Source organism: Homo sapiens, chromosome 2, assembly GCF_000001405.40.
Source record: "Homo sapiens chromosome 2, GRCh38.p14 Primary Assembly".
NCBI lineage: Eukaryota > Metazoa > Chordata > Mammalia > Primates > Hominidae > Homo > Homo sapiens.
Window position 1 is genome coordinate 169339130 of NC_000002.12, and position 12442 is coordinate 169351571.

The 12442-nt window shown below is 39.3% G+C and overlaps 1 protein-coding gene across 3 annotated transcripts in view; it reads right to left on the reverse strand.

Annotated features, from left to right (window-relative positions):
* The window catches only part of LRP2 (LDL receptor related protein 2), a 235426-nt gene that overhangs the window by 212021 nt on the left and 10963 nt on the right, over nt 1-12442 (reverse strand). The window contains exon 1 of one of the 3 annotated variants that reach the window (XM_047444340.1): nt 3406-3553. The exons of the other annotated variants lie outside the window; for them this stretch is intronic. The gene's annotated coding sequence lies outside the window, so the exon portion shown is untranslated. Of the gene's footprint in view, nt 1-3405; nt 3554-12442 lie in introns of those variants that run through there. 3 annotated transcript variants of the gene reach the window in all.

The window sequence follows — 12442 nt, forward strand, 5'->3', positions numbered from 1 at the left end:
TTTGCTTATATGAGAGTTTATGTATATATATAGCTCTTCTATATTCATCATCTGCAACCCAGTTTGAAAATCTATTAAAATAACCTAATTATGTAGCTAATTCCCCCAAAAGCTAATTTAATACAGAAATTTGAGTATTTTATTATTACTTTTATTTTACATTATTACTTCTCTTCCCAACTAAATCTTTCTGATGTCTAAGATTCACAAAACAACAACATATCCATATTCAAAGTAAAACTGAACTAGAAAAATAAAACTTAATTCACAAAGTCAAGTTTATAGGCACACATCTATTCCACATGCGTTCAAAAATATATCACTACTTAGTGAAATAAATTAACTCTTTGCTAAATTATTTCTCTGGTTGATACTAGCTGTGTTTTTAAGACATTTTCAACAATTATATTTCAAGGGTGTTTAAGAAATTTAGTAATAATTAAAAAATACATGCTTAACTAAATAACACTAACCAGTTGCCTAAACATAGCTATCTTAATCCAAAGAAGTTGATAGTGACAATATTTATTGAATCACTGAGTTGTACAATATAGAATTACTAACCCCTGTTATTAGTATCTACAATTTTAAAATTCTCCTCACTTCACTCTGATAAATTTGGAAATTGTTTCTGACTTGATGATATTTTGAAAAACGCCAAGCATGGGGGAAACATAGAGACCACATCTCACAAAAGGAAAAGTCCAAAGCTTTTCAAAATGCAGACTGCTAAGGGTGTTATCACCATAGCAACCCTCAGTAAAGAGAATTCCAATATGAAGTAACCAGAGAATAAGCAATATTTTAACCTCAAAAGCACAAACTTATGGATACATCTATATGGTATGCATCTGTACTATATAAGGTCAAAGGTTAAAAGTGACCCTAAAGTCAAATTCCAGCATTCTTTTGGTGCATACGATATATCTACAATTTCTTTCCCATCTCTTAGAGTCATTTAGAGTAAGTTTTATCCTTCTTCATATAATAGTTCCTCAAATATTTGGAGAGCTAACCATTGTTCCCCTATTCTCTTGTCCAAAAGAAACATCTCCAGTTTTTCCATCATTCCCCCATAATATTGTTTCCAGTTTTCTCATCATTCTTGTTTCTCTCTTTCAAATAAGGTTCAAATTTTCTATGCCTCTCCCAAAATGTGGTATTCAAAGCTGAAGAGAAGATGTGCAGTGTCACCCGACCAGCTTTGGCCAGGAGCAGTCATGGCATACTTTAACATTCATTTGCCTCTCTCTCCTCAGTAATAGAACCCAGTGTTACTCAGGTGAACTATGTGCTGAGCTAAAAAGCTACATTTTCCAAACTTCAGCCAAATGTGATCATAGGACTAAGTCTTAATCGATGAGATCAAATGCAAGCAGTAGTGTTGTGTGGGACTTCTGGAAAGTCTCCTTTAAACAGAGAAGGCATGTCCTCCTTTCTCCTTCTGCAATCCCACTACCTGGCATAGAGAAAGGATGGCTATGGCTACAGCAGCCATTTTGGACAATGAGGTGACTTCAGGAATGGGAGTCACCAGCAGAGGACTGTGGAGCCTGTGTCTCTAATGGTATCATGGAACCACCAGACCAGCCTTCCACTGCTGGTTATGTAAGAGAGAATTAAATGTTTGTCTTGTTCAAGCCAAACAAAATCCTCTCTGCGACAGGAGCCCAGAGTAGAGCATGCCTATTACCTCCCCACCATGATGGAGTTGCTTTACTATAACACATGCTGTTCTTTTGACTTTCTATTAAACAAAAATTTCTTGAGTGCATGCTTATGCCTGACACTGTGCCAGACACAAGAGACCAGAGGAGCTAGGCATACTCTTAGCATCAGTGGTCCTGTTCTATGCCTCTCCCAAAAGGTGGTACTCTTCTAGAGGAAGAGATAAAATACATACACAAATGATTGTATCTCATGGCATGAGGAGACATGCTGTAAGAGAGGTTCAGATAACATTCAGTGGATATCAAGAAAGGTCCTGTAGAGAAAGGTGCATTTAAGCTACAGATAGATGGATCTGAGGGGAGGGGACGCCTCACAGAGGAAACAAACTAGAACTGGCACAGAAACAGGGAAGTGCAAGGCATGTCCAAGAAAAAGTCACATTCTTCATCAATGTCACTGGCACGTCTTCAAATTACAAAGATCATACGTGAGGCAGATTCTCTTTTATGTGAAGTAAAAAAAAATTAAAATTAAAATTAAAATAAATTTGCAAGATCTTTGACACCCTCTAAAGACACTAAGTGCCTCCAGAGTCAATTCAATTCCCCAGGCATTTATGGAGCACCAACTGTTTTTCCATCAAATAAGAGTTTCTTCCAATCTACAAAGGCATCCTAATTTTAAAAAAATTTCATCAAATATTTTCCATATTTTTAAAAATGCTTGGAGGCGATAACTTGTCAATATTCTACTAAACTGGCAGAAATGTTTCCAGGAGGTATATTCTGATATTTAACAAACTGTAAAGCACAAAGCAAGTGTGGTTCTCCTTTTCCTCTTATTATTAATTTAAAGTTACAAGAAAGTAAAGCATGTGGAAAAACAGAGTATTAGAGTTAAGTATGTGAGGCCCAGAGCCAAATATCCTACTCTGCCTCAGTTCACTCATTAGTAAAAAGGGAATAGTAATGGTATCTACCTCCCTGGAGTGTCACAAGAACAAATGCTATAGCTATGGTGACTATATATCAGGCATATAATAAGTTTCAGTGTATGACCGCTCTTATTACCAATAGCATCCCTTTCTGCCTCTCTATTCACTTCCTATCAACCAAGATGGGCCCTCAACAAAAGAACTATTGGCATTTAAGCCCAGACAATTCTTTGTAGTATGGAACTATCCTGTGTATTGCAACGGTTTAGCATTCCTGTCCTCTGCCCTCTAAATGCTGGCAGGGATACTCAGGCATTGTGACAATCAAAAAATGCTACTATATGTTTCCAAAGGTTCCCTGAGGGAGATGAACCAACTAGGAATCAGTGAACTAAAACAAAGAAAATGTCACACGCTATGCCCAGACAGACAGCAAGCTGGAAATTTTTCAGGCAGGAAAATTAAAAAAAAAAAAAAAGTTGAATATTTATGAATGTAATTAACATACACATACATTGAAAAGACATGTCTAATATTCCCATAAATAAAACATGCCAACTTATAAAACAAATAACAAGAATTATCAAAAACGGCAACAAATAAAAGCTTTCTCTTTGTTCCATGGTGACTCTCTCCTTTTCTCATCACTTCCAAGTGCACAAGTCTAGTTCTACCCTCATCATCTGTCACCCAGATAATCCCAGTAATCCTCTAACTTAACTAGTTCATCTGCTTTCTCTCATTGCAGCAAGTATTCTTTTTACAAAATGAAAATCTGAGCATTGTACTTCCCAGCTTACATTTCTTCAAAGGCACCAAACTTCTTAGCTTGACATACAAAATCCTCCACAGTCCACTCTCCCAACTCCTTCAAGACTCAGTTCAAATGGCAATCTGTGCGGTCTTCCTTGGCCCTTGGTCCTCTCAGGTCTAGTTGACTACATCACTGCCTTTTCTGTGCTCCCAAACTTCTATTATAGACCTCTCACCCTGTAGCACAATTGTTTATTTGCATGTCTTATTCATCTATGCATGTCAGTTCCTGATAAAAAAAAAGCTTGCAATAAACGTGTGTGAAAGAAATACATCAGTGATTATTTTAACTGTAATTATTAACCAAGTCTAGCTTGACAGCTTTCTCACCTATTGAACATCTCACTGACCTTTCTGTAGTTTCATGAAATAATAAGGAACTTTTGCAAGAGAGAAAACTCTTCATTGACTGTGATTCTTACATGCTCTGTCTAAAACCTCTCACAAAATCAAGTGCTCCTCTTCAAGTGTAGTCTTCCCTGGGCAAATCCTTCTCCTTGCCCAGAGGACACATCTGACCTCCACTCAGACCCATGCTTCCATCATTCCTGTTCTCAGAGTTACAGAGACATCATCAGCAAGTTCTGCATAAAACCAAGTTACAGAAAGCATGCACAGGACACCTAAAATGGAAACACCAGGTCCACCAACGTTTGAACTTCTTGGCAACTTTACATTTGGATCTGTGCCTTCAAGACCTGGGAGGTGAAGAACCAAACATTCTTGGGGGAAGAAAGGCAGGTGACCAGGCCTGTCTTCCAACATTTTTTTGTCTAGTAGTTTCATCTGCTTTAAAAAGCTGTATTTTTCCCCAGCAATTTCTATGGATAGAGAATTTGACAAGTGGTTTCTTTATTTCAAAAAATCACAGCATGGTGGCTGCTTTGCTGCATGACCTAACCAAGAGCTGGTCAACTATGAATGATTTAATATCAGGTTCCCTGTGGGGCCAAATGTTTACTGAATGCTCACCAAGTGCCAGGACCTTGCATGTTCACAATATCCTTTAAATATTCCCAGGTACCTATAAGGTAGAAATTACTAACACCCATTGTATAGTCCAGGAAACTGAAGCTCAGAGAGCTTCAGAGGTACACATCTGGAAAGCAGTCGAGCTAAATCTCTGAGCTGTGATTCCAGACCATGTCCCAGTACCAGAAAGGGTTTGGCCACAGGTTAACTATGTCCAGGGAAGTTGGGAAGGGGTAGTTGGGGTATGGCCAGAAAGCTTCTATAATAATAGGAAGAGCCCAGAATTTTGCTTGGCAGCCAGTGATTTAAATTTACAACAGTGGCTTCAGCTCAGTTTCACAATTTAATCTATCCTTAATACCTTAAAGGAAGCCATAGAAATTTTCTCTTTATAAAATGTGAGAATAGCATAGAATTTTTGCAAATACATAAATATTTACTAACTCCTCAAAAGTTATTCAAGATGCCAAATATCCCTTCTTGAAGAAACCATAAATAAACCTATATCATCTGTCCTACAGTGAAAATCCTCAGAGAATGCAATGGCATATTCAGGGGCATAGGATATGGTTTTATAATTTTCCAGCTCATATTTCTTTCTTTTTTTATTATTATTATACTTTAAGTTCTGGGGTACATGTGCAGAACGTGCAGGTTTGTTACATAAGCATGCACATGCCATGGTGGTTTGCTGCACCCATCAACCCGTCATCTACACTAGGTATTTCTCCTAATGCTATCCCTCCCCTAGCCCCCCAACCCCCAGCAGGCCCCAGTGTGTGATGCTCCCCTCCCTGTGTCCATGTGTTCTCATTGTTCAACTCCCACTTATGAGTGAGAACCTGTGATGTTTGGTTTTCTGTTCTTGTGTTAGTTTATCCAGCTCATATTTCATTGGAGACAAAGACATAATAAAGTTATGTAAGCAGGGAAGAGAATTTTCAATTATAAAGATTCTAAAAAGTAACAACATTTTAGTTGTATATTTGTATGGTATTTTTAATGCAATCAAGCTTTACAAATGAATGCAGTCAATATATCCCAATATTTTGTGAAATTCCCTCTAAATAGAGCATGTAAGACATCCATTAAAGTTTATTTTTAGCTAAGAGCCAAACCCTGTTTCATTTTATTATATCCCTCATCGAGTTTTAACTTAGAAAACATAAATAAAACAAGACATTAAGTGACTTAATAATAAAAGCTTATCCTAGAGTGTGTTTCAGGATTGCTTTCTACACCCACCCCCAACTACTGCTCTCACTAAATCATTCTTTCCAAATGTGCTGAGATGAAGGAGCAAAGGTGTCCTTAAGCCTGACTTTTCCTTAAAACCATATATTAAAAGTTTCCCTGGTGTGCTCCTCTCAAACTAAAACTGGCTTATGATTAAGAGCAAGAGTGGCAGGCAGTGACTGAGATGAGAAGGAAACACTCTAATTTGTCATCAAAAAAATAAATCAGAAAATAGCCTTTAATCTTAAGAGTACAATTTACTGATTTAGTCATTTATTTACAAAATTGATGGAAATTGTTAACAAGGAGTTAATTGATTTAAGTCACCTGATTACCACAGTTAATTAACCACACTGACTTAATCTTCTTTGAAAACATCAACTAATCATTTCCCAGGTGTCAAGGGGTAAATCGTTAAATAAAAAATAAACCTCTGTCCTCCTCTTCAAGAGAGATTTCTTGAGTGTGTTTTCTTTACGGATTCCAATCTAGCCACAAGCCAAGTTTGGGGAAATTTTGTTCTTATATGACTATACTGAAAGAGCTGCCTTCTTTCCAGAATTTTTTCTCCGTTATAGTAAAGGAAAGGCAGCCTTGCAAGCTTACCGTGAGTGTCATTTTGAATTACTTCAAAAATGAGCAAGGAACACTGCGTAAATAAAAATGAACAAATAAAAGGCAACAGAGACATTCATCTGGGAAGGTCAGTTTTCAAAAAAGGAACTTAAAACACACTTTATTGGGAGGGTGTGGCCACAAAGGAGTAGCACAAGGGAGTTAGTGGGGGTGATTGAACTGTTCTAATCCCGAATGAGGTTGTGGCTACACAAATATATACATGCACTAACATTTACAGAACTGTGCACACACACAGCAATTTTAGCCTATGTTAATTTTTAAAATTAAAGCACTTCATAAAGGCCGATTCTCTTTTTTACAGATAGAAAAATGGAGGTTTGACCCCTTGGCCCCACCTCAAAAGGAAAAGAGGGGGCGGTCAAAAAAAAAAAAAAAAACGAGCACTGTTAGAGAAACTCAGAAAAACATCCTACATGACTCTTGTCGTTCTTGTTCTGAGTTAGCAGAACCACTGCTTCTCTCCAAAAACAAAACAAAACAAAACAAAACAAAAGTCAATTGTCTTTGATCCACCAATGTGCCCATAGAACAGGAAGGCCCTGGAGGGAATCAAAGTCCCAGGTCACTGTGACAAGTCACACTTAGACCTCCTAAAGGGAAGAAGTAACTACAGCTTTAATAAAACTCCATCCTCTTCCTATCCCTTTCTCCTTCCTTCAATCACAGCAAAATGCTTGAAAAATAAATCTGGATTACAGTGGGATTTTGTTGCACATATTCACAATCAGCAACAACTATTAAAGACCCTTTTGATTTCCCTTACAGGGAAACGAAAGTGTTCAATACAATATGATCCTTCTTAGCCCAAGTCCCTCTTGGTGCCATGTTCTCTCGTCTGCACTGTTGGGTTTAATTATTTACAGCAAGAAGCATCTAACTTCCACTGTCTTTCAGTTAGTATGTTCAATTTTTAAACCATGCATTTTGTTTTTCACTAGAATCTTAGCTTTCAATGATTACTTAGCAAATTCTTTCAACACTTCACTGAACCAAATATTAGGGAAGAAGTAAATTCTTATATCAGAAGTGACCTTGAAAAAAAAATGCAGAATTTTGGTACATAAAAACCAATCATTTGACAATTGACTTGGGACATGTGTATATTCAATTTTATGCATTTGCAAATTCTTTTTTTATTACACAGTAACTTTAAAGAAAAACAGAGCTAGGCACAGTGGCACACACCTTAGTCCCAGCTATTCAGGAGGCTGAGGCAGGAGGGTTACTTGAGCCTAGGAGTTTGAATCCAGCCTGGGCAACATAGTGAGACCCCCATCTCTAAATTTTTTTAAAAATAGAAAAACAGGATTCCCTATTAATAGTAATCATTATGGTCTAGACAAATTATAACTGCCATGTATATTAAAATCCAAGGGTCTCTTCTCAAACTTACCAGGCACTGATGAATCCCCAAGGAATGGTTGATGGAGTCTTGCAACTGTGTTGCTTTTAACGACAACTTTTCCTTTTGTTGTAACAACTCAGTTTCAATTGCTAACTAGAGGAAGGACAGCCATACTAGAAGCTTTTAAGTTCTATCTTTGAGGCCTTCCTAATAGATCACAGCTGAAATTCCCCATAAAGCCATTCTAAGAAAAAGCACAAGCATAATAACCCTTTATTCCCCAGAAAAGGAAGTTGGCTTATTTTCAAGACTATATCACACCTCTAGTACCTTCTTTCCCTCTTTCATCCCCATTAAAACATACCAGCTTTGTGTCTCCTTCTCTCTGAACCTTGCTCTGACAAACATTTACTGTGCATTACTATCTCAACTAACTACTTTACCCTACAGGAGTGAACATTTCCACATTGTAATAGGAGTTTCAGGAGGAAAGAATGTCTTACTCCGAAGAACTGACTTTAGTAATGACAGAGCAGAGATCTTTGGCCGTAGTGAGAGATACTTTGGGACCAAGAGACCTTTAAGCACATCCAGCACATAGGAAATGTCTTCTCCATCTCTACAACAGCAGTGTTCTCCGGGAAGTAAAGAAACTCAGCTCTCACTTGGTTGTTCATTTTTTTCTTCAGTGACTTTAAATAAGAGAACTTAATAATTTTTTTCATTAGTAGTAAACAACAACAACCTCTGAAAATTTATAGATGACTGCTGTCCCTAACGGAAGGTTAAAATTGAACTCTCTGATTAGGTAAGGGTCCTTTGAATTAAAAGACACATAATTATAGAGGGAAAAAAAAAAAAGGTGTTCCCAGATAATGAAATAGTAATATAGGAGAAACCCAGCAGAGAGAAATCAATCCGTACCTAAAAAGTACAGTCTTCTAGTCTTCTAGAAGGAAGTGGAAATATACTCTGTTCAATAGTAAGTTGTTTTGGATGTGGCCTATGTTGAAGGTCTCTGTCTATACTCTGCAGTACCTAGTTACATCACGCCTAGAGCATGATAAGGCTGCAACATATATTGAATGAATGAATGAATGAATGAACTGCCAAGAGTAGCAAAAAAATGTCCAAAAGTTGGGTCGCAATGGTACCAGCCTCTGAAATGAGGTCATCTGATCATAATATGAGAAATTAAATGAGGCTTCATTTGATTACGTACAGAGGACTATCTTCCACTTGCTCCAAATTATCCATGGTGACAACATATACAAATAAGGGTTCTGGGTTCAAATGTTGGCTCTGCCACTTAGTAACTGAATTGCTTTGGGCAAATTACCTCACCTGTCATTGTCTTGGTCCTTTATCCATAAAATTTTTACTGTTACTACATAAGTAGGTAAACTAATACCTACAAAACACTTAGGCCAATGCCTGGTATAGAAAGCACTCAAATAATTTAGTCACTTTTATTGTGGCTTATTTCCCAACTTCTCTACTCATCTATGTGTGGAATTCCATCATTCTCCTGCCTCCAACCTATTTGTTACGTATGGAGTCCTCAAAAGAATGGGGACTGAGATGAGGGAGACTATGCCCAGGAGACAAGTGGCCATGGGTCCTTTTCAGCAGTCAGGGGCCCTCTTCGTCTGTGCCCATTTTTCCTTCATTCATCAGGAACAAGACCCATGAATGTCCTGACTTGACATGTGATGTTCTTTCCACCACAATCCATGCTGCCTCCCTGAGTGGAGAAACCACTCCCCTCTTCAAAGAGGGCCTTTTGTTTGATCAAGGCTGTTTTCACTGTGTCATGGTCTCAGACAGCTTTCTTTTGTGTTCTGTTTAAATACAGAATGACAGTCCACTAACACGAAGTCTAAAAACTTTGGCTTATCTTTTTGTAAAAGCTACTGTATCAAATCTGTCCTAAAAATAGCAGAATGACCCATTCTGTATGTACAGGGGAATTCTCACAGGGTAACCAAGTATCTGGGATGGAAGTTAAAAAGAAGGATGCAGATTCAACTACTCAAATGCATTGGGAATCACCAGCAGGGCGGGAGTGGGAGGCACTGGGGTGGAGAAAAGGGGGGAGTCAGATCGAGAGAAACAGCGTTGCTAAGCCACTTGCTTTGATAGAGACAGCAATTTTCCTTTTTCTCCATCAGGACCTTGACTGGGCCTCCAGGGGCCTCGAGGAATTAAGGGCTGGTAGTACCAGGGAATGGTGATGAGCTGAGGATGCCCCTTCTTAGCACCCATGGTGACATCTGTCCATTCATTTATTCAATGTATATTCATTTATTTAGCCCTTTTCTGGACACTAGGGAAAGCAATGGATAAAAGAGATGAAAATCCCTGCCCTTGTGCCATTTACATCTTAGGGAAGGGAAGATAATAAGTAAGGAAATAAACAAACAACTAACTAAGTTACATACCTTATGTCAGATGGTGGTAAGCGCAATGGAGAAAGTAAATCAGGAAAGAAGAGGTCGGGAAAGAATCAGAGAAGGCCACACTGAGAGGGTGACCTATGAGCAAAGACCTGTAGGAGGAAAGGAAGTAAGTCATGCACCATCTGAGGCAAGAGCATTTAGGAAAAAGGGGGGCAAGTGCAAAGGCCCAAAAGTGCTCACCATGTCAGGGAAAACAAGGATATCACTGTGCCTGGTGCACTGTGCATGGGGAGAGGAGAAGGAAATGAGGTCAGGGAGGTGATGTGAAGGCCAAATGGTTAGGGTCTTGTAGATCATAGTAAGGACTTGGACTTTGACTCTTCATGAGATGGGAAGCAGTGGTACACCCAGAGTTGTGCCATGCAGCTTCCCCTTATAGGAAGGACCAGCTATGAGGAAGGACTTTCTTCCTGCAATCAGCTCCTTTGGGGTCTGCCTCAGCTATAGAAAGCCACCTGCCCAAGGTCGTGTCCTTCCAGGACAGGCCACATCCAGTGATTAAGCAAGGCCATTTCAGCCTGACATAGGACACTCTAACAGGCAACTCTTGCTCCAGAGCTTCCTCTGGGTTGACCAACAGCTGCCAGAGTTCAACTTCTTCTTCTGCCCATCCTGCTTCCTCCCTTTCCCTTCACACGCATTGATCTTAATAAATATTATATACTCCAAGCTCCATCTCAGTGTCTGTTTTTGGGCAACCCAACTTGAGTATGACAGAAACCATGGGAGCTTCTGAGCAGAGGGGTGCTGTGATCTGACTGATGTTCTAAAAAAGTTGCTACAGCAAGGAAATCAGTATGGAAGCCATTGCAATCGTCGAGGCAAGAGAGGGCAGTCGGTTGAATCAGGGTGGCAGAAGTGAAGATGGTGAAAAGTAGTTGGATTCTAGATGTATTTTGAAGATCAAAACAATGGGATTTTCTAAGGAATTCTATATGGGGTAGAGGAGCAAAAGAAAAGTCAAAGTAGGATACAGTTTGAGGCTTGAGCAAGGATGAGGAAGCCATTTGCTGAGATGAGAAATTCCACATGGAAAGCAAGTTTGGACATTAGTGGAGATCAGGAGTTCAATTTCAGACATGTGAAGTCTGAGATGACTATTGGCCAGCCAGGTGGACATGTCAAATGAGCAGTTGGATATGTGGGTCTAGACTATAGGGTAGTGGTCTGGATTAGATTCATAAATTTGAAAGTTGTCAGCATGTACATGGTAAAGAAGTATATATGGAGTCCTCAAAAGTATGGGGACTGAGGCCAGGCACAGTGGTTCATGCCTGTAATTTGAGAGGCCGAGGGAGGAGGATGACTTGAGGTCAGGAGTTTGAGACCAGCCTGACCAGCATGGCAAAACCCCATCTCTACAAAAATACAAAAATTAGCCAGGCATGGTGGTGTGCACCTGTAATCCCAGTTTACTTGGGAGGCTGAGGCAGGAGAATCGCTTGAACCTGGGAGGCAGAGGTTGCAGTGAGCCAAGATCACGCCTCTGCACTCCAGCCTGGGTGACAGAGCGAGACTCCATCGCAAAAAAAAAAAAAAAAAAAAAAAGTGGGGACTCAGATGACAGAGACTATCCCCAGAGGACAAGTGGCCCTGGGTCCTTTTCAGCAGCCTGGGGCCCTCTTTGGTTGTGCCTATTTTTCCTTCTTTCTTCAGGAACAAGATCCATGAATGTCCTGACTTGACATGTGATGTTCTTTCCACCAGAGTCCATGCCGCCTCCCTGAATTGGGAAACCACTCCCTGCTTCAAAGAGGGCCATGAGACAGGATGAGGCCACCAAGGAGGCAGTGTAGCTAGAGATGAAAACAGGTCAGGGATATAGACAGGAACAAGCATGAGATACCAAGGGTAGGCCAGCAAGGAAGAAAAGAAACCAGGAGAAGGCAGTTTCTTGAAAATCTAACTAAGTGTTTCAAGGAGGAAGTCAGGATACACTGTGTGTGATGCTGCTAACCAGTTAAATAAGGACCAGAGCTGAAAATAGATCATTGGATTTAACAACATGGAAGTCATGAGTGACTTTGACCAAAAAAATATCTATCAAGGATGAGGGCTAAAGCAAAATGGCATGGATTTGAGAAAAAATTGAAAGGTAATTACAGTGGATATAGGCACATCTGTACAAGAATTTTACTGTAAAGTGGAACCGAAAAAATAGAGTGATAGTTAGAAGGTAATGTGGAACAGAGGATTTCATAAAAGAAAGAGGGGACAATTGCAGAGAGGTGAGAGGGAATGAGATCTAGAACATGAATGAAATGGTTGGACTTAAGAACTGGGAAAATTCTTCCAGAGTAATAGGAGGAAAGACAGAAGATATAAGACGAAGTTCAAATGATGATGGTTGAGTTATAGAAGTTTATGGAATTC